General features: G+C 51.3%; 1 protein-coding gene across 2 annotated transcripts in view, besides 1 other annotated feature; it reads right to left on the minus strand.

Annotated features, from left to right (window-relative positions):
- Positions 978–1,478: an enhancer, noted in NCBI's record as "H3K4me1 hESC enhancer chr15:31756624-31757124 (GRCh37/hg19 assembly coordinates)". NCBI's record gives its function as "activates a minimal SCP1, AML or CMV promoter by ChIP-STARR-seq in naive H9 embryonic stem cells {active_cell/tissue: H9 hESC(naive)}" and the evidence as "EXISTENCE:reporter gene assay evidence [ECO:0000049][PMID:30033119]".
- Positions 11,955–22,798, minus strand: part of OTUD7A (OTU deubiquitinase 7A) — a 395,276-nt gene continuing 384,432 nt past the window's right edge. For both annotated transcript variants that reach the window (NM_001382637.1, NM_130901.3), the window contains one exon: positions 11,955–21,281. In NM_001382637.1, the coding sequence (NP_001369566.1) occupies positions 19,851–21,281 (1,431 nt within the window). In that variant the 3' untranslated portion in view covers positions 11,955–19,850. The remainder of the gene's footprint in view (positions 21,282–22,798) is intronic.

Below are 22,798 nucleotides of genomic sequence, written 5' to 3' on the forward strand. Positions count from 1 at the left end.
ATTTCATCCTACGCATCTCTTCATCTGTAGTCTTTGTAATATCCTTTATAATAATAAATATTATATATAATAGTAAACGTGTTTCTTACTGAGTTCTGTGAGCTGCTCCAATAAACTAATAGAACCCAGAGAGGGTTGTGGGAACTCTAACTTGAAGCTGGTTGGTCAGAAGTTCCAGAGGCCTGGACTTGCACCTGGTGTCCGGGAGCCGGGCAGTCCTAAGAGAGGATCTGCCCCACTTTCCAGGTAGACAGTGTGGGAGTTGAAGTGGAGGACACCCAGCTGGTGTCTGCTGCCTGGTGTGTAGGAGAAACCTCCACGCCTTTGGTCACAGAAGTCTTCTTCTGTGATGATGGTTGTGGTGGTGTGAGAGCAGAGGAAAAACACAACTGAGAGAGTTTTTCCAAAACAGTATCGTTGCTCATTCCTATTTTCCGGTAGGAAATGTATGGGTCAGGCGTGTTCCTCCAACTGCTTGCTCGTGACAAAGGAGAATAAACTGCTGGGCTTTATTTGATAATAAACAAAGCATCAAGCCCAACCTTCCAATTTTATTACTGTTGGGTGTAGCACAAGTAGGTTATGGATTCCAGATTATGAATTACTGATCAAAAACTGCAGTAAAATCTAGAACTACAGAATTAACTCACTGGTTAAGATACTAGATTTGAAAGGAGAAATAAATAATTGGTTGGCTACAGGCAACTTACTTTTTTTCTCCTGGGTGAGAAGAATAAAACATGAAAAACCCTGATGTGGACACAGCACGTGGCCAACCAGGGGTCTCTTCTTCCACGGTGCTCACCATGCAGGTGTCCAGCTCTCACCTCACTGCTTAGGGCAAAGCATTTTCTGCAAACGTGGGAACTCTGATAGCAGCTGTTCCTTGGACTGGCAGGAAATATTCTACGCTTCACTGGTTCCCACCCCTGAACCAGTCTCTGAGGTGCTCCTGCTGGTCCTGGGAGGTCAACAGCAGACAGGCTGGGGCTCCCGCCTCTCCTCCTCCAGAACTCCTCCTTCCGTTCTGCTGCCGAAGTGCTCAGGTGAGGGCTGCTGAGCTCATCAGAGCAGGGGACACGTGGCTCAAACACCCTCATCCACCCCACAGAGAACTCCAGTTCCAGTGGCTGGGATGAGTTATGGAAACCTGGAAAGTCAAAAACACAGAGCACAAATCTGGAACTGATGAGTGTTGGGACTTTGTTGAGACAGTCCGTGGAGGAAGGCGAGCTAGCACAGTGGGAGCCATCAGTGGCCTCATGCTGCCCAGCTCTAAGGGCTGGGAGGCAGGGACAGACTTGAGTGCAGGAGGGCCATGCTGTCTCCTGCAGTAAAGCCTGGTGGGGACGAGGACTGCTCTGGTCACATTTCCTTCCCTTCATGGCCCCTGCACTGTTTGTGACAATAGGGTGGACACGAAGGGGCCATGGAGGATGGTGCCCGCCTAGCTCTGATGACCTGAGGGCTGGCCAGCACCACCAGCTACTGATGAATGGCCCCTGGTCACTTCTGGCTTCCTGTCCCTCTGCTGGCTTGTCCAGGACAAGTGCAGATTTAGGGACTCGGCCAAGTTACCCTGCAGCCTGGCTTGGCTCCTTCCTCCCTGTGTGACCCTGGGCAGATGATCTTATCCCTTCTGAGCCTCATCCACAAAGCTGCATTGGTGATCCTCCCCGTCAAGGATGTGAGAGTGGCCAGGCTGTGTCACGACAGCCCTGGGCTCACTGTAGGAGCCCCCAGACCCAGGGGAAAGTGGCCACCGCCCTGGCTCTTATTGTCCCTGTTCCTTCTTGTCACAGCAGCGCCTATGCTAACTTTCCTGCCTTCTGTACCACTAAGGGAGGACACTGGGCTGTGTTATTCCTGGACAAATCCACAACACTTAGTGAGCCCAGCACAAAGCAGTCCTCAGGCAGTTTGTGGAAGGAGTGCACGTCCTATCTGCTGGGGTGCCCCTTTGTCCCCTTCTCTGTCTGAGTAGATCAGGGCCCTGTGCAGCCCTCACCTCCACTGAGAAGTCTTCCTTCCTGGGCAGTCCCTGCCTGGGGCAGAGCTGAGCCCTGGTGCTTTGTGGAGCTCCTCCCAGGGCACTCCCAGACACTCCCTGGGAATTGCATGGCAGGGAGTCACCTCTGTTCCCCGGGCAAGGGGCATGCCCAGGCTCAGGCTGCTTACCCAGCTCACCTGGGCGCAGAGGAAGTCTTCTCTTCTGCACCAAAGGAAAGGGTGCTAATCACACCATCGACTGAGCCTTCAAAGGCACAGGGGCAAATCAAGATCCTGGCACCCAGACACCAAACACCTGAGGGAGGAGAGGAGGCACAGGTGAGGCTGACCAGGACAGAGGGCAGAATGTGAGCTCCACCTCCAAGAGGAAGGGAGTAGGAGGAGGCATGAGACAGGGGAGGCTCCTGGGAGGAGGAACACATGGCGCAGGCCTGTGCAAACATGCCATGGGGCATGGCGGGATTCTGTGCTTCCATGCATGTGCCTAACTCAGATGTGGAAAACCCCATGTGCAAGGAACAGACAGCTACTTGGGCTGCTCCAGGTACGTTTGTGGGGGCTACTGCATGGGCACCAGAAAAATGGACGTGGTATGGTCCTGTCTCAGGTAACTGAATCCATTTGCTGGTGGAATGGAAAACCATGCAACCTGTTTAGATCACTGTTTGGCAATTTCTAATAAAGTTAAGTACACACTTCTCATCCTGTGACCCAGCAATTTTACTCTATGTATTTTTTTTTTCTTTTTTTTTTTTTGAGACGGAGTCTTGCTCTGTAGCCCAAGCTGGACCTTTGCCTCTGGGTCTCAAGCCATTCTCGTGCCTCAGCTTCCCCCGTCGCTGGGATTACAGGCGTGGGCCACCATGCCCGGCTAATTTTTTTTTCTTTGAGACGGAGTCTTGCTCTGTCGCCCAGGCTGGAGTGCAGTGGCACAATCTGGGCTCACCGCAACCTCCGCCTCCCAGGTCAAGCAGTTCTCTGCCTCAGCCTCCTGAGTAGCTGGGATTACAGGGGCCCACTGCTACGCCCAGCTAATTTTCGTATTTTTAGTAGAGACGGGGGTTTCACCATCTTGGCCAGGCTGGTCTTAAACTCCTGATCTCGTGATCCACCTGCCTTGGCCTCCCAAAGTGCTGGGATTACAGGCGTGAGCCACCGCGCCTGGCCCCGGCTAATTTTTTTGTATTTTAGTAGAGATGGGGTTTCACCATGCTGCTCAGGGTGGTCTGGAACTCCTGAGCTCAGGTGATCCACCCGCCTCAGCCTCCCAAAAGTGTAGGGATTACAGGTGAGAGAGCCTCCGCGTCCGGCCCACTCTATGTATTTATCCAGAAGAACTGAAAGCCTGTGTCTACCAAATGCTCACAAATGTTCATAGCAGCTTTATTCCCAAACTGGAAATAACCCAAATGTCCATTAATAAGAAAACAAACACAAATGGTGGTGTGGCCAATGCAATAGGAGACTATTCATCAAAAAACATTACAAACTGCTGAAACCCACAACAATCGCAATGAATCTCAGAAACCTCAGGTTGAGCAAATGAAAACTGACTAGAAATGGCACATGCTGCATGAGGTTTATACAGAATAAATCTAAAGTGAGCACACCTGTGCAATCGCTGCTTCTGAGGGCAGGGGGCAGTGGGAAGGGCAGGAGGGTCTCAGGGGTGGTGGGAATGTTCTGTATCTTGGCTGTGATGATGACCTGGGGGGTGTCTTTGCCAAAATTAATCAGAGTATACTTTGATATTTGTGTATTTTACTGTATATAAAATACACCTCAATAAAATTAATTTTATTGGAAAACACTGCAGATTTGAAGGTGAAATTTCTTACTTAGGTAGCCATATTGTAGACTCACAGCAGTGCATCAGGTTTTCCAGAATTCCAGAGCCACCTGACAGGTATGGAGCTCCTTGACTAAACGTGAGCCAGGCCCCCTGGAGAAAAGTCCCTGGAGAAGGGACCCGGCCATGTTACCCCAGATGCCTACTGCCCATGAGCCTGTGGCTTTTCTCTAGGGTGACTGTGCCCTGGGGCAAAAAGAGTTGTTCTAACAAATGTCTCCTCCTGAATTACGGCAGGGGAAAGGAACGCCTTGATAATCTGGTGATTACCTGGCACTGGCTCTGAGATGTCACCGATCTGGGGGACTTCAAGACACTACCATGGCCCAGCAGTCAAAGTGGGGGCTTATGGAGGTCAGATGATAAAAAGTGTTTGGTCCCAGGTGTGAATTTCCATGGGACGGTGTCTGCGGGCTCTCCAGGGGTCATGTCTCCCATTTCTGAATGTACAATTGAAATAGTTCCACTCGGCAACCAGCAGAGCCCCCACAGAGCCCCCACATTGGCTCTTCTGCCACGGAGTGAATGCCATTTTGGTAGAAAGTGGAAAGAAAGGGAAAGTGGAAAGAAAGGGAATTTTCCCTCCCTACTTCAATAGTAAATCAAAAGTAATTAACCCCACATCCTAGGGGAGTTGCAGAGATTAGTGCCGCTATCAACTACTGGAGAGATTTCAGGGTGCAAGTTCCTATTATGTCTCTGCTTCCCTGGCCTGCTTAACCTCTAATGAAGACAGACGCGTCTTGGGGAAATACAGTGCTTCAGAGTGAAGGTAACCAGCTGGTGACTCCAATTGCAGCTGCTGTTCTGGATGAAGCTTCCTCTTTTTTTTTTTTTTTTGAGACTGGGTCTCACTCTGTTGCCCAGGCTGGAGTGCAGTGGTGCAACCTAGGCTCACTGCAACCTCCGCCTCCTGGGTTCAAGCAATTCTCCTGCCTCAGCCTCCCGAGTAGCTGAGATCACAGGCACATGCCACTATGCCCAGCTAATTTTTGTATTTTTAGTAGAGATGGGGTTTCATCATGTTGGCCAGGCTGGTCTCAAACTCCTGACCTCAGGTAACCCACCCACCTTGGCCTCCCAAAGTGCTGGGAATACAGGTGTTAGCCACGGCACCTTGCCTGAAGCTTCTTCATTGGGAGCCACAGTTGCAGCCCCGCAGCACTGAGAGTTGGCTCTTAATCTCTATGTCAATTTCCAGGAACACCAGAAACAGTCTGCTCGTGTCTAGGGCACCCACAGCACCCCTTCCCAGTTTGCCTCAGGGTTATGCCAGTTTTCCTGCTCTCTCTGCCATGATAGCATCCACAGAGATGCCACAGAAAACCATAGTGGGCCACACCATTGACACTATGCTGATTGGTCCTGATGGGACGGGAGTAGCAAGTACATTAGGATCCTTTGTTTCGGGATCTTTGGGGAGTTGATTGGTGTTGATTTTCTTCCTGGAAACCTCCATGGCGTCTTTGTCCGAGTTCTCATCCTGCATCTGGGAAGAATGAGGTACGCAGACAAGTGAAGGGTGAAGAAGACGAAGAACTTTATTTAGTATTAGAACAGCTCAGAGAAGACCCACAGTGAGTAGCTCCTCTCTGCAGTTGGTCATCCCATCATCTCTCCGGCCTCTGGCTGACCGTCCTCTGTCCTGCTCTGGCTGAGAGCAGGGCTGTTATGGACCTCAGAGGGGAGGAAGTGCATGCTGACTGGTCCACTGGTGGCCATGGGTGGGCCAGAGGAGGCACCACGAGTCCCCACTCTGGTCCGTGGGACTGGTAGCCCGGCCCCAGCCTTCAGGCCCTCCTTGACCTGAAGGTGGGGTCTTACAGGGACCCCCCGCCCCCGACTTCTGCCCAGGCCTTCCGTTGCCATTCGTGGCCCCAGGGCTTGGCCCCAACCCGGCTTCGAGATTGGAGCAGGTGCCAGAGAGGAGAGGGGCCAGGCAGTGGAAGCAGACACCCCTGAGCCTGCAGGGATGGAGGATGGGGGCCGAGGCTACAGGCTGCAGAGATGCCCCCGTCCAGCACCTGGGAGGGCTGCAGCTGCACCTGGAGAGCTCCCGCCCCACCAACTTGGAAGGGGCGGGGGTCCTGCTTGTCCCTAGCGCCTTCCTGCTCTGTGGAGCAGGAGGGCCAGGTCTGCAGCCGCCGCTCAGGCAGCTGCACCCAGGAGGGCAGCTCCTACCTGCTCCTGCCCCCCTCCAAGAGCACAGGGAGGCTTGGAAGCACAGCTACAGTTTGGACGGCTGTAGCCTTGTCCAGGAGGGCGGGGCTCCTGCCTTCTTCGAAGCACAGGAGGCCTGGGTCTGCAGCTGTGGGTTGGGCGGCCACAGCGACTTTCAGGGAGCTTCTGCCCCAACTCAGAAACGCAGGGCTCCCACCAGCTCCATGGAGTGTGCAGCCCCAGCCACCTCCCTTCTGCAGCCAGTGTGATGGCAGCAGCCACTGCCATCACCTTGGTAAGACACAAAAGTAGGAGATGAACCCCATAAATGCTCAGGGGCTCACCCACTTGGTGAAGTGGCTGAGGATCCTGTGGAGCATTTCAGGACACCCCAAGAAAGTGAAAGATAAGAGGTCATACCCCAAAATGAGGCATGATGCTTGCTGAGACTTTTTGCATTTTGAAGGCATCCTATACATGATTTGGGGGTGCTATCCCAATGCATTGACCAGGGTGACTTTGAGACTACCAGTTGCAGGTGGGGTCCCCTGGGCCTCATCACCCAACAGATTCAGTGGTGCTCAAGTGTTTGTGGCCAACAGCAACATAGCAGAGAGCTCCAGGAGGTGAACTGTAGTATTGAACTCCATATTCTGGAGCAAACCCATGCCTTCTTCTATATATACATTCTGCTTTCTAAAAAGCAGCTCCTGGCGTACCCCTGGGTCCTGGTAAGGACTGAACAGATGACCGGGGACATCAGCTGACTCTGCAATACTAAGCTGGCCATCAAATACTGGGTGTTACTTGACCCGCCCATCCATAAGGTTGGGCACATGCAGCTGTAAGCTGTCATCAAGTGAAGATCGGGTATGAGAGGATGGGTTGGAGAAAATCCAGAAGGCACGTGTCAGTGTGTGAACAGGTGGCTGAGACCCCTGTGACATGCACTCCTGCTTGTGTTGACTCCTCTCTCAATCTGTCTGTGGCTCACAGAAACTCCCGTGACCAAATGGCTGAGACCAGCCTTCAGATGGTTATCTGGGATAGTGGGTACCAGCTGAGAGTGGGCCCTGGGAATTCTGGAGTGTCCTTGGAAGATGGCAGGGAAGGGAAATTGTCCCAGTGGATGGCGCTTGAACAGAACAAATGGCTCTCGCTTTTCTGGACCGAAAGACAGCCAGAAGAATTAACCTACACTAGTGATTCTCAGCAGTGGGTGCTCTCCAGTTCCAGTCCCCAGGGACATTTGGCAATGTCTGGAGACATTTTCGATTGCCATAACTAGGTGGGGGTGCTACTGGCATCCAGTGAGTGGAGGTCAGTATATTAGTCATGGTTCTCCAGAGAAGCATAACCAATGGAATATAGAGAGATACACAAAAACAACAGATTTATTATGAGGGGTTTGGTTACGTGATTGTGGAGGCCAAGAAGTCCCATGAGCTGCACCTGCAAGCTGGAGGCCCAGGAAAGCCCCTGATGTAGCATCAGTCTGAACCCAAAGCTCTGAGAACCAAGGAGGCCAATGGTGTAAGTCTGGTCTCAGTCTGAGGGCTGGAGAGCCAGCAGAAGGGCAGGAGAAGATTGATGTTTCAGTTCAAGCAGAGAGTGTAAACTCAACCTTCCTCTAGGGGCCTTTTTGTTCTATGTGGGCCCTTAACGATTTGGATGAGGCCCACCCACATTGCTGAGAGCCATCTTTACTCAGTCTATGGATTCAAATGCTAACTTCTTCTGTAAACACCCTCACACACACCCAGAGATAATGGCTTACCAGCTAGCTGGGCATCCCTTAACCCAGTCAAGTTGACACGTAAAACTAACCACCACAGTCAGCTAGTGATGCTGCTGAACATCTTACAATGCACACAGGACTGTTCCCTACAGAAAAGAATGATCTGTCCCCAAATTTCAATAGTGCCACTATTGAAAAACCATGATTTACACTGATTCATGGGCAGGTGAAAACAATTTGACTAGATGCTCAGGAACTTGGAAAGAACAGGATTCCAAGGTTGGTGACAAGGAAGCATGGTAACAGATGTATGTACGGGAAGGTGGAGTAGGATGTATGTGGATGGATCGCTCAGAAGGTGTAGAGAGACTGGAAATATTTGGGTGGCATGTTTATGCTCACCAGGAGCTCCCTGTGCAGAGGAGGCTCTTGAGACTCAGGTGGACAAGAAAGCATGCTCTGTGATGCTAGCTGACCCTCCCACCAGCCATCCTGATGTTTATTCAATGCGCCCAGGACCATGATTACAGGGATGGAGGCTGTGAATGAACACGACATGAATTTCCTCTTGCCAAGGCCAGCCTGGAGGCCACCACTGCTTTGTTGGAGTGATCTTCTGACAGCCTCCCCTGTGGTGCATTCCTGGGGAGGGCCAGCCAGATTCCTGTTGGCCAGCTGGACCCCTTCATAAAGGAAAATAATTTTCCCTCACTGGAATAGGTGTGCCCTGGATTCAGATTTGCTTTCCCTGTCTGCAATGCTGCTGCCAAAAGCCACTATCGTGGACTTAAAGAGTGCCTTATTCATCGCTGTGGTATTCTACACAGTGTTACTTCTGATGAAGAATTTCAATTTTAAAGCAATGAGATCATGCACAAGGATTTCACTTACTCCACATCCCACTGACCCAGAAGCAGCTGGCTTGATAGTGCTGTGGTCCTGCCTAGTGAAGACTCAGTTAGTATGCCAGCAGGGAGACAGCTCCCTGAAAGGTCGGAGTTCTACCTTACAGATGGAGTTTGGGATTTGAATCAGCAACTGCCATATGGTCTGCCATATGATGATCCCATGGCCGGAACACATGGTCTGGGAAACAAGAGGTGGGCATATGAGGAGCTCTTGTCACTATGAAGCCTTGTAACCAAGAATCTGTACCTGCCCCTGCCCCATACCTCGTAACCAAGAATCTATACCTCCCCTGCTCCACACCTTAGCGCTTTTCTGTTTTGTAGTTCTTACTTCCCCAGGGAGCTTCCCAAAAGGCAGCACAGTGATTTCGCTGAACCTGGAGCTGAGACTTGGCCATTTTGGGCTTCTGAGCTAGGTGAATCAATGCAAAGAAAGTCGTTACTCTATTGGCTGGGTGACTGAATGAGTTGTTGCTACATAATGGGGGCCAATAAATGATGTCTGAAATCTAGGGGACTCTTTGGGGTGCCTTTAATTTTGTCCACATCCAAAAATAAGTTAATGGTAAATGATGGCATTGAAAAAAAGGGCTTGTGAGGACTCAGCATCTACAGGAATGAAAGTTTGGATTGTCCTTCAGGTAAAGAATCCCAACAACCTGAGGTCTGCCTGAGAGCAAAGCCAACATGGAATGGTTATGGAAGAAGGTAGTTTCAAACACCAACAGTGCTCTGTGGCCAGCTTCAGTTCCAGGGGGGCCTGCAGTAGGGAGGCATATTTGCCTATCTTTCTTCTTGCTCAGTGTGCGTGTATACACACATACATGTACGTTCATACATGCATACATGCATATATATGCATGTGTGTAGGTGGGTCAAGACACATAAGGACTTGCTCATTCCTTTTGCTTCCAGTTTCTCTCAATGTTGTCTTAGCAACAGCTCTTCACTTGCTAGCTGCAGTTTGTTTCAATTTCATTCTTCCCCCCACAGGAAAGAAGTGGCCAAATCACAGCCTCTACTGAGACACCGGCAACCCCTCCCTGGTGATCTGAGCCTAGCACTGCGAGCCTCCCCCTCTGGCTTCCTGAGGCACAGGCACCAGCTGGGAAGAGCTCCCTTTTCAAAGGTCTGACCTCAACGCGGTGGAGCCCTGCCCTATCTGCCTGTGGATTTTAACAACATGCTCTCTTTGCTTTGCCCCTGACCCTGTGAGGAAGCTGCTTCCTGTATGTTCTCTCCGTGGGACGTGTATGTCTCCTTTTTGTGTTTTTTAGGCTTCCAATACCTGCTTGACTAGTTTCCTATACTAAATTCTCTGTCAAAATAACTGAGGTGACTTCTGTTTTTCTAAATAATACACAGATTTTTTGATTTGGTGGGGAAACTTCAAGAGCCTTGAGTCGCTTTTTACAGAACAGAAACCTGGGGCTGGAGGGGTGAGATGCCTTCCTCAAGGTCAATTCTGGGGCCAGCCCAATCCAGGGTTCCTACCACCATCCTATATAGTCTTCTAAGCACATTTCAAAGCTTCAAATGCAGTATTTTGTCTTTCATACGGGATTCTCTGCTTGTCCTGAACAAACTAAGAACAGTTTCCTGTTTCCTCGTGTAGAAAAACATTAGAGCCAGAAACGGATGGTCCCATTGGCCTTAACAGGATTCCATGGGTATGTAGTGGCCATGGCTCCAGCAAATCCCACAGCCCTGCCAGGTATCTTTCCTGTCCTTCTCCCATCTGTGCTAACTCACCCCCCACCTGGAGCCAGATGGACTTGGGTGTCACCATCCCCCAGACTCTGAGCTCCTCCTGGGCAGGGGCCTTGCCCATTCCTCAGGATGACAATGTACTCTGATGCTGGGAGCACAGACCCTCATGTCAGACACACCTGAGCTGGAATCCTGGCTTTACGACTTACCTCGCCAAACCTTACTTTTCTTCTCTACAACACAGAGATTTTGCTATCTCACACGGTTGCTGCATGGATTGAATTCCACTAGGCACAGAATGTGCCACCCCCCAATGATGCCTATTCAGTGCGTGAGACCCTGTCATTACCTCCTCCATCACTGTCCCAGTGCATGGCACACAGTGGGTTGGGACTGAGTCCTGGGTGCATCACACCTTCTTTAGATAGGCCTGTGGCCTGGACCCCACCCACAGCTTCCTGAGGGGGCTTCTTTCTTTTACAGAGGCAGCGCCTCTCCTCCATAGAAGAGCACTCACAGATAAAAATTCACGGCAAAATCCTCCTCCTCCTCCTCTATGCTCCCAGCTGCCATTCTCTTGCTTATGGTTGCAACCTCTGGTGAAGACATGTTAAGGACAACCCTATTCAGCTTTTGATATGGTTTGGCTGCGCCCCCACCCAAATCTCATCTTGAATTGTAGCTCCCATAATTCCCATGTGTTGTGGGAGGGACCTGGTGGGAGATAATTGAATCATGGAGGCGGTTTCCCCCATACTGTTCTCGTGGTAGTAAGTCTCATGAGATCTGATGGTTTTATAAGGGGTTTCCCCTTTCACTTGGCTGTCATTCTCTCTTGCTTGTTGCCACGTAAGACTTGCCTTTTGCATTCTGCCATGATTGGGAGGCCTCCCCAAACACGTGGAACTGTGAGTCCATTAAACCTCTTTTTTTTTTAGAAATTACCCAGTCTCAGGTATGTCCTTATCCGGAGTGTGAAAACAGACTAAATACAGCTTTCATCCAGATAGAATGTGTCATGGTCATTTTAGAAAGGAGAGAAACTATTTTCCTCTTATATGAATGAAACTTGGCCAGGCGTGCTGGCTCGCGCCTGTAATCCCAGCATTTTGGGAGGCTGAGGCAGGTGGATCACTTGAGGTCAGGAGTTTGAGACCAGCCTGGCCAACAACAGAGTAGTGAAAACCTGTCTCTACTAAAAATACAAAAAAAAAAAAAAAAGATTAGCTGGGCATGATGGTGCGCACTTGTAATCCCAGCTACTCAGGAGGCTGAGGCAGGAGAATATCACTTGAACCTGGGAGGCAGAGGTTGCACTGAGCCAAGATCACGCCACTGCCTGGGTGACAGAGAGCTAGACTCCGTCTCAAACAAAAAAAAAAAAAAAAAAAAAAAAAAAGAGAATGAAATGGTGACAACTGGGTTTACATCTCATCTGGCTGGGAAAACACTTAAACAAAACAAAACTGGTATGGATGGATGTCTGATATAGTCCTCTTCCTCTTGGCAATAAAGCTTTTCTTAGATGGCATTTTACCAAGAACACAGGAGTCAGTGGGCAAATAATTGGACCAACCAATACTTTACAAACATGTTAATTTTATTGAGTAGGCATCAAAGCTTCTCTCTGTGTCAGGTAATGGAGAAGCCATGTCACACAGATTACAGAGCTATTTTTACTTGAAATAATCTTTCATAAAAGAAAGAAATTAAATACAATTCTTCTATAAAAAGTGCAGTAGTCATTACTGGAAGTTTTCCAAAATGAAAGCAAGATTTACTACATATTGCAAAAACTGGTTTAGTGCTTTAATACTTTACAAAGTAATATCCCAACCACAGAAGACAGCTCTTACAATGGGTTTCTTCTCCAAGAATGGACCGGATTGAAAAGGATATTTGCATTGAATTGGAATTAACACCTGCAGGTAGAAAGGGGTTCTGCACAACTGGGTCAAAGTAATGTGATTGACGACCTACTTTTGCCTCAGTGTTTTCCTTTGTCCACAGTAATCAAAGAAAATGGGAGAAATAAAGCAACATATATCATCCAAAAATCAGTCAAAGAAACCAAAAAAGAAAAAAGAGGAACATTCACTGACTTCATTAGGCCAAACGCACGTTTAATGGAACAAAGCAAACACAGGGTGAGGATGGTCCCTTGTTATAATTAACTTCAACAATCCTTAGTTAAAACAAGGCCAAATTCTCAAAGGTGATGGTGAATGGAGTTCAAACTCCGTAGATGAGGCAGTAACAGGTCACTAAGGAGCTTAGTCCCTCTGTGGACCCAGCTAAGCCTGCTCCTTGCTCCTAACAGCGCCTTTACTTGTAGGACTAAGAGCCCAGCCTTTCCCACCTGGGGGCCCAGGGAAGACAAGCTCCTACTGAACGGTGACTGGCTCTGTCAGAGGTGGGGCTTGCCTCTGTGTGTACAGGGGCTGGAGGCCACAGCTGATCTCCAACACATGCTCATGGTGAGTTTCCTAGTTTTGGTCCTAAGTTAGCGGAGACAAGCTGCCCCACTCCCCACTGCCAAGTCATCATTCCGTATCAGGTGTTTGGATTCCATTCCTGCAAGCGGGAAGAATGTGTGCAAAGAGCTGGACAGCCCATAGGGCCTGGGAGACCTTCACGGACACCTGCCATGGAGAAAGTTTGCATGGGCCAAGGGGGCAGGCTCTTGGGAAGCACACACTCCCTCCCTGAGTGCTGGCAGGAGCAGGCTTCCAGTCTGTTTGGGCAGCAATGAAAGGGACACTGTTTATTTGGCAATTCAAGCACAGGAATGCACATGTGTGGGCCCACTCACTGCTGGCTGGACAGCTGCAGAGAGGGCATCACGATGGAGACCTTATGCCCCCTCCCACGAGGGACCTGAAAATATGGCATCAAGAGAAATGACAGCAAAACCACGGAAGTGGATTAAACAGGAGGACAAAGCCTTTAACCAGGCCACAGTAGGACAAAAGTCCCATAAGAAGCTTGTAACAGTATTTTGCCAACAACTCTTAGAAGAAAACGCATTTGGCCAAAGGACCTAGAAGTAAACACCAAAGTTAGGTAGTTGTGAAAATCATCTGGCAGGGGCAGGAAGGTCATTGGAGGACCCACGCCTCCCCTGCTGTGGGTGAGGCCACCTGCCAGCACTGGAGGGCCACCGTGCTGGGGCCTGGGCCCAAGGAGGTGTGTGTTGCTTGGCTCTGTGGTGTCAAGGCCCTGACCTTCCAGTGCACCTCCACCAGTGGCCAATGGGGATACCCGGGGGCCTTGGCTCTCTGGCCCTGCTGCTTCCAAATTTGTCAATGCAGTTACCCAGCCCTGAGCCGGTTAATGTTTGTGACAAGCTCCTCTTCCTCTGCAGCCTTGCTTTGGTGGCTGGAGGATGAGTCCTTCTAATGGTCAGGTGGACTTTCCCTGGGCTGGGCCATCTGCTGCCACCCGTGTTGAACTGGGAAGGACTGGGAGACACCTAAAGACTGATTACAAAGGATTCTCTGGAATGGTCCAGGTCTACAGTGACCTCATGGAGTGATGGGAACCCACTACTGTGCATCTGGCTACAAAAGCTACCTGCAGAAAACTGTCTTCATCCCAGCTGGTTCCAAAATGCTCCCCTGCGAACAGTGAGCCTCATATTTGTGAGGTGGGGCTAGCGGCAGGGCAGGCATTCACTTGTCTGTGAACAGAAGCCACCGCTGCTGCCCGGTGTATCTAACCATCTTGTACCCATAGGAGCCAGGTCACTGGGTCAGCTAAAGTTCTCACAATAATAGAACCTAGATTTGATGAAAGCTGAAATTGACATTTTCTGGCCTCTTAATAGTTTTCAATTTACTGATTTAATTTCCTTTTTTCAATAAATACTTATCCAGTGCCTAATATGTGTCAGGCACTGTTGTAGGCACCAGGATACAGCAATGAGCAAGACATATAAAAGTTCCTGCCCACATGGAGCTTACAGTCTATGGGAGATGGGGAGGCGAGAATCAAATAAATGGATGAATGATTAACATCTGCAGCACTCAGATGGTGATAGGTGCACAAGAAGAAGATGCAGAGAGGTGGGTAGGGAGGGAGGGTGGGGTGTGTTGTCCTTTTAAATAAGTCAGGGAAGGCCTCGTTGAAAGGTGACATTGGAGCAAAGACTGGCAGGTAGTGAGGGGTGAACCATGTGGCTCTCTGGGGAAGAATGTTCAGGTAGAAGGAATGGCATGTGCAAAGGCCCTGAGGCAGGAGGGTGCCTGTGACTAGAAACGGCAGGAAGGCCTACGTCCCAGGGCAGAGCAGCAGGCAGAAGAAGTACTGGGATGGGAGAGGCCTTTGTAAGGACCTGGCTTTTCCTCTGCCATGGGAGGCTGTTTCTTCGTTTAAAGGAGCACTCCAGTGTCTGCAGATAAATTCTAAAACAGCTGGTTTCACTCATTTGTCCTCATTAAATAGGTTGCTTTGGTCTTGAATAAATTCAGCCTATATTTACTCTTAAAACCAAATGGTACTCTTCGCCTTATGTTAAACTAACAAATTATGTATATATATATCCTTGATATGCTCTTTGGGAGGAATAAAAAGATGCAAGCAATGTGCATCATTCTGTATGTACATAATTAGGATTAGTGAGGCCCCCTTTTTTGGCAAGATTAAAATAGCAAAAATGCAATTTTCAACAAATCATTTGGCAAAATAAATAGAAACAGTAACATTACTAGCATGGTTGGAGATGATGGCTTCAGTGCTACTCTGCAACTACGTGTGTCTTCGGCTCAGCCTGGTGGGGCCAAGTTCTTCATACTGCACAGACTGCACATAACTGTTGTTCCCAAGGGGTCCCTGCAGGGCATCTCCCTCGCTCTTTTCTGCTGGGGGTGCAGTGGGGAGGAATAATAGATCTTTTGGCAAAGAAGGGACCTGCATAACTGCTAACAGGCCAATTTGCACAGTGCCCGGAGCTGTCTTTTGTGACAGAAGCTTGCAGAGTGGTCCAGCCTGGATGTGCCGCAGGGCCTCCTGGGGTGAGCGTGGGGGGCTCTCCCCATGGCGTGTGCTGGCCTCTCTATCGTGAACTACCCAGGACCCACTCCCGAGTCAGTGAGGCAGCACTGGCAGAAATACACTCCGGGCCAACAGACCCAGAGCTGTGGAGAGGACACGGGCAACAGGGTGGACTTGAATTAAACAAGAACAAAGCTGAGCGCTGGTCACTGCCCCGGCCAGCCACACTAAAACAGGCCAGCTAGAGTTTAGAGTCAGGAGTAAATGGGAAGGTGGTGCCTCAGATCTCTAGAGAGCCACCACTTTAAGGCGTTTTGGAAGGGGCCACCTGCTCCCTGGCATGCCAGCCACCTCTAGGCCCTTCATACGGTGTGTCTGTCCTCAGCTGGCAGCAGAACCGGACTCAACTAGAGCAGGGGCCGCCTCTGCAGCCCAGCGAGGATGAAGCCAGGGCTGGTAAGGTCTGTCTGGCCCAGCAGGGCTTGCTCAGCCACAGAAACACATTTCTTCTTATCTATTAGAAGCACTGAGGAAAGAAAAAGGACAGAACACTGGGGGTACTTAATTTTAAAGTCCACACCAAGATGAGGAGAAAAAAAATCATGGCCATAAAGAAAGGAGCCCCAAACATACAGTAGATGCCTTCAGCTTTTACTCCAGGTCTCTTCGTAAATAAAAGACTCACATGGAATGGAACTTACACACATGGATTTGGAAAAGTCTGTTTTTTCTTGTACAAATTTCCCACCACTGATAAGTACAGCCCTTTTATCTTAACCAATGGGAAGTATATTTTAAGTTTATTTTTGCAAAGTAGAATAGTTCGCAAAATAAGTTTGTGGACACTAAGTGGGGGGGGGGGGTGATGGGCCCATGACCCCTCCCCAGAGACAGGGCGGGCTCTGCATGGAGGATGTCCACACCCTGAGGTGTGCACCTGGGGGGCATGGAGAGTCCTTTTATCTTCAGCACCCCCAATTCTTGACAGTAAGCTACGAGAAGTAGTAAATTAAATCATTTGGGAAAACATTCGATTTGTAAATAGATTCAAATGCCACTGGGTGGTAATAGGTATGAAAAGGTCCACAGTAATTTAGTGAATACAAAGTATTCATTTAAGAGGAAAGGTGCAGTACCAAAATCCATGAACAGAAAAAAGGAAATCAAGCTTTCAATAAAAAAAGACACTGATACATTCCCACTTTCAGAAGGTATTTGAACAAGCAGCAAAAAGCGTTTAACCCCCCGGAGCCCACAGTGGAGCTCCTTCCCACCTCCAGTTACCCTTCCAAGGGACAACCCTGTGGCAATAACGGGTGCAAAATATTGCTCTGTGGCATGTTCTGAAAATAATACAAAAATAATTTTTATAGTACAGTTTAAACTTGGCTTGTAAAATTTCAACGTAACACAGCATAAAGTCTACCAACAGAATACACTGAAAAACACCTTCCCTTAACAATATTTTAAAAAAATCATTTACCCAGATAACAAATGTGCAGGAAATGTAAAGTAAATTTCTGAAATAACCTTCGCAGGGGTTTAGAAGTATCTGGGATCCTCTGGAAACCTGCAGTCCCTTGGAGACACCTGTCCTTCCTAGAAAGGGAAGTGTGGCCAGATCAGGTGGGGAAGGCTGCTCTCAGGCAGGGTCAGCTAGGGCAGCAGGGCCATGCACCCCGGTAGGACTCACCTTCTTCCCTTTCTCCCTGCTCCACAAAGGGCCCTCACGCCATGGAACACGAGGGAAGCCCTTGGCCCACATGCAGTCAACACAGTTTTTAATAGTTTCTGGCCAGCCTGCTGAAGTTGGTCTCTGGCCAGGGACGAGGTCTACACGCCTCTTCTCAAGGAGCATGCTGTCGGTGCACGGGACTAGCACATTTAATATGACCATCCGCTCTCTCCCTTTTGCATTTTTAATACTGTTTAGAGGAAGGATGGATCCAGCTCTCTCACAAAAGGAAATGGCTATTCCTAAGTCATGTGGACTGAGTGGTAATGTATCAGCCTGGAGCAGGTGTCTACAGGCGTCTGGCGCCTCGTTACCACATTGAGAAGCTGGGGTGCAGGATGCAGCCAGTGGCTTTATCTCAGGCTCTTATTTAGGGCACATCTGTCATCAGATGGTGATGGGTGGAGGTAACTTGGAAATGCAAGGGTAGAATAGGTCCTGGTGTTTTGATAATTACGTACTCTGCCTGGTTTGGAAGGTTTTCCTCTATTACAATGGACGGTTTTTATTCTGTTTTATTTTTTTATTTTTTAAATTAGACAAACCTGGCAGATAGCGTGAGAAAGAAAATATCTGAATTAGCATAGCCAGTTTTAGAAATTTCTGGTTGGCTGTTTTTACATTAAGAAATGAAAAAAACAAGCAAGAATTGACTTTATGCCTCCTTGACATCTTGTGCATATGAGTTTGGTTTCTGAATGGATTATTGGAGCATTTTTAAGGTTGGGTGTCTCAATCTTTTAAGAGTGACGAGCATGAGGAGTGGCTGGCATCCACACCTGAAGCAACACTTTCTGTGATCCCACAGCTTTGGATGCCAAAGCAGCTGCTCAGCGTGACACGAAGAATCAGTCCAGAAAGCTGCCACAGACCCTCTCCATGAGATTTTTAAAAAACCACTTTTGTTTTCTGAGTAATAAAAGAAACCCCAGTAATATTAGGGACATGGATGTTAGTACAGTAATTACCACACATTGAAAATATTGTTCAGCAGGAAAAGTAAAACTTTCAAAAAATTTCTTAAAGATCCTATTTAATAAATAATTTTTGATTTAAGGAACCACTTATGCAAAACTTGAACAAATTACTGAAAACTCCACCTGCTGTGGAATAATTAAAAACAAAAAGGCATTACTCACAGGAGATACTCAATTATTTTATTATAATTTCTCAAACAAGTAAAAAAAATCCCCTCGCCCCCCCTTTTTTTTTGTTTTTGCTGCTCTTTAGTTAGGGAAAAAAGCATCGTTTCTAGAGGAGAAGCTGGCTCCAGTGAAGAGATGGTCGACCTCCTGCTTTTTCTGAGGATACACTCACAGCAAAGCCAGGCGCTTTCTCCTGTCCTAGGATTATTAGAAGCTATTCTAAGGCTCTCACAGGTTTTATAGTATTCTTTGTTAGTGAGGATTTTACCCATCTTATCCTCATTTCTTGGAAACAAGCTCGTTCCTTAGTGAGGCAGATTTAGCTCCTCAGTGTCCTTGGCCAAGAACGGTGTTCTCCGGAGGTAATCTTGGAAGGAAGAGGCTGCATATTGCTGCTCAAAACAGGGTAGCTAAGGACACATTTTTTTTTTCCTCAAGAAATGTAGGAGGCACCAAAAAAGAGACCGCTCAGGGATCGGGCTGCTCCCTCATTGTGTCACGAGACGGAGGCAGGGTCGTCCTGCCCCGTGGAGGGGCCACGATCACAGTGAGTCCCTTTACCTGGCTGAACCCAGACAGATGCAGGTGTGGGGGTGGGCTTCCTTCCTGGTTCCCCCAGCCCCTTCCCTTTGGAAAGAGCAGCAGCCTAGTGGGGGCTTACACAGTGACCAAAGGGTCAATTCCTCGCTGTCTCCCGGGGCACCGATGGTCACCGCCCAGGGGCCCGCCAGCGACAGTCCACTGTGGAAGTGCCTTCAAAGGAGAAATGTGAGCAGCCTGTCCTATCTGCTCCTCTATGAGCAAATCCAAATTGTGAGATGGGAACCCTGCTTTTTGGACCCTAGGTGTCTTTGGAAAGCTCCTGTCACCTGAACTGCCCGGCACTGGGAGCCATCGCTGTACCTCACGGCGCCCGCGAGACGGGTGGTCCAGTGCCCTTTCCACGGCCGCCCGCGGCTTGGATGGCAGTGTGAATGGTGCTTGAGCCGGGGCTGGGGGAGGAGGTTTTGCTTATGAAATGGAGCTGTGTGTTTCTAAAGGGCCACAGTGACCACCAGGGCGTCAGCTGGCGGCCAGGTACCCGCCTTCTCCTAGGCCTCGGGATGGGAGGCAGGTAGAGCTCACAGAGGAGCCTCCACCGCAGCCCCGGGTGCGCGCTCGCTCTAAGCCCTGGGTACTACCAACCGCGCACAAGGGACCGCTACCTGGAAGAGGTCATCGCTAGGGTAGGAGAAAAAAAAAAAAGCAAAAAAAGCATGTAAAACACTCCCTTCTTAAAACAAAGGGCTGCGAATTTCTTTATTTCTCTTACTGAGGAACAAAAATACTCTTGCAATGGCTATTGAGTTTCCACAGGTACGAGGCAGATGCTAGGCTAGCACACCCACTTCCAACAGTATGACTTGTTTCCTATCCGTCTACTACCTGAGTGGCGTCAGTGTAGGTTCAGGCACCATTAGGAACGTTTGACCAAACACGTACACGGCACTGACAGAGGAGGCGCCGGCCTTCCGGTGGACCAGGGCATGTAAAAAAGACACCGACACAATGGAAAAGAAATCCTCGAAGGTAGAACCTCGCCGCCCGCGCCGCGCCGCGCCGCTCAGGGCCGGGCCCCGCGCGCCTCGCGCCGCCGCCGCAGCTCCTCGCGGTAGCAGTAGGAGCAGTAGTGCTCGGTCTCGGCGCGCCCGTAGAACGCACAGTTCTCGCGCTGGCAGCGCCGCTGCACCGGCCCCGGGCCGCCACGGCCGCACTCACCGTTCGAGCGCGCGGTCGGCGCGTCGGCGTCGGCGAACTCCAGGCCGTCGCGCAGGGCGCCGAAGCCGTTGGTGTAGGTCTGCGACTTGTGCTCGGCCGCCCCCGCCGTCCCCGCCGCGCCCGGTAGGGCCCCGGGCACCGCGCGCGCCAGCGACTCGACCGTGTTGACGGTGCGCAGGGCGGCGGCGCGCGCCGGGCTGTAGCTCTGCGACGACAGCGAGCGGTTCTGCTGCGGGTACGTGGCGCACGGCCGCAGCGCCCCCACGGCCGGCGCGCACGCCTCGTCCCGCGCGCCCGACGCCTGCACGTGGATGACGCTCTGGCGCGCTGGCGCCGGGGGGCTGCGGCCAGGCACTGGTCCGCTGGCGCTCGCACGCCGCGCGCCTCCCCCCGGGGAGGCCGTGCCGCCCGCCGCCGCCCGCGCCGCACGCCCTGCCGCGGGCCCGGGGCTCGGCCGCTCCTTGAGCTTGAGCACCAGCTGCGTGGGTGGGCCCGGAGAGGCGCGCTCCGGGACCGGCACGCCCTCCGTCTCCGGTCTGCGCGGCGGCCGCTTGGCCGTGGCGGCGGCGGCGGCGGCGGCAGCGGCGGCCGCAGTAGCGGCGTCGCGGCGCCGCTGCTCCTGCTCGGCGCTGAAGCGCTCCTGCGCGCTCGTCAGGTAGTAGCCGATCATCTCCTCGTGGAACTGGTGCCGGTGGCTGGTGAGCAGCAGGCCGGCGAAGATGAACTTGCGCTCCCCCTGCATGGCGGCGCGCAGGATGTTGAGGCTCAGCTTCACATCCGTGCTGTACTTCCAGGCGTCGCCCCGCGGCCCACCGCCCTTCTCCGCCGGCGACGCGCCCGCTGCCTTGTCTGTGGGCGACGGCGTGGTCTTTTCCGACGGCGACGTGCTGGCCGACGCACCAGACTCCTCCTTGCTGCCCTTGCGCGACTTGGCCTTCTTCTCCTTGCCCCGCTCGGCCGAGTCCCCGTTCTTGCCATTGGCGGAGTTGGCGCGGCCCATCTTGCCGTGCACCAGGCCGCCGAGGCCGCCCATGTTTTTCTTCAGCTTGATGCCCAGCGTCTTGCTGAAGCTGCCCAGCTTGTTGGCCACGGAGTCGGCGCGCGTCTTGTCCTTCTCCTTGCGCTGCTTCTCCTTCTCCTTGTCCTTGCCGTTCTTGCCGTTATTGCTGTTAGAATTGCTGCACACCGAATCGCGGTCCGAGTCCAGCGAGTCGGCCAGGGACTGCACGTCCTCCCCTGCCGAGGCCGTGGGAGACTCCGGCTGTGCCAGGGGCGCCTGTGTGGAGAGGGAGGGCCGGATCGAAGGTGGTTAGAGAAGAGCTGTCCACGCGCCAGCGAGGAAGACACACCTTGCCCCTGTGTTGCCGAGGCTAGGGCCCTGGACCTTCACTGTCCCAGTCCCCACTGTCGCTCTGGTGACTGTGACATCCGGATGGGCGGTGCTGAAGGAGCGGATAGGAGTGGGCTCTGATCTGCTGCGGTAGTAAAAGGATGTAGGGACCTCTTAACTGCGTGTGTCTTCTGGCCAGGGAAGCTGGGGTGTACTCATTCTTTCTCTCTGGGGGACCTCAGGTACTTGGTACCCTGGAACCCTGAGTAGGGTATTGCAGCAGGGTGCAGATACCCTACTTGGTCTTGGTCCCCAGAGCCTTGTCACAATTTAGAACGGTCAGGTTCAGACTCTGGCCTTCCCCCACTGGCAAGGCCGCCTGCTTGACCAGACACAGGTCCCAGGCTGGCCTCTGTAAGGATGGAGGCCTTCAGGTGGGGAGGACACTGGGCCTGCACAAAAGTGCCTCCTCTGAAAAGATGTCTCACCTCACGCCAGGCATGGGACAGAAACCTTGCACTCAACCTCATTCATCGGATCTTGGATCAAACACCCCCTTGATTCAGGGATGCCAAATCGCTTCAGGAGTTCCTTTCTCACTCAGTTTGGCAAGGTGGAATGCTAAATTGAGGAGGATTCTGAAATAGGCCTGCGCTCAGCAAAAAAGATGTTCCCATTCCCAGAAAAGTCCCCCTGGGTGGGGTGGGGTGACGCTGGGGAGCACTTCTTGGATGAGACCCACTGATGAGGTCAACCAGTCTGAGGGGGGCACGACCATATCTGGGGTGGGGGGACCCTGAGAAAAGAGGTGGGAGAGCAGAGAGGCAGGCAGCACCTACTACTACTCTGTAGGGACCTCCCTGGGTGAGGAGAGAATTCTGACCGAGTGTCATTGGACGAGAGGCAGGGCCCATCATGCTGGCCGCTGGGTGCTGCAGGAACTGGTGCTCATACCTGAACAGGCGTCCCTGGCTTCCAGGGGATGAGCCTGGGAGAAGGCCCATTGCTCTCCCACTTAATTTTTGTCCCCCCCTCAAACCCTTCAAGCAAGTTCAAGAGTCGGTGACTCTCCTGTGACCAGGTCACCCCAAAGCAAAGGTGGGCAGAACTGACCCTCACCACCTCCCACTCTGACATTCCTTTCCCCTTCCCACCTGGGATAGGAAGGTGTGAAGTGTCTCAGACTGGTGCGTGAGACACTAAAGGGTGGACACTCGGGCTGGGCCAGGAAGGGAGGTGCGCCTGGTGCTAGCAGGAGCGCACTGAGAGCGGGCTCAGGAGTCCCTGGCTGGAAGGACCCTTCCCACAGTTGTCTGCTGAGAGCCCTGCATCTAACATGAAGGCACCGAGGCCTGGCAATTGCAGGCAGAGCTATTCTCAGCCCGAGAGCCTCCTGATTCTACATCTCGAGCCACTGCCATCACTCCCCATGTGGGTGCTGAAGAAGAACAGCCACAGCACTA

Source organism: Homo sapiens, chromosome 15, assembly GCF_000001405.40.
Source record: "Homo sapiens chromosome 15, GRCh38.p14 Primary Assembly".
NCBI classification, from domain to species: domain Eukaryota; kingdom Metazoa; phylum Chordata; class Mammalia; order Primates; family Hominidae; genus Homo; species Homo sapiens.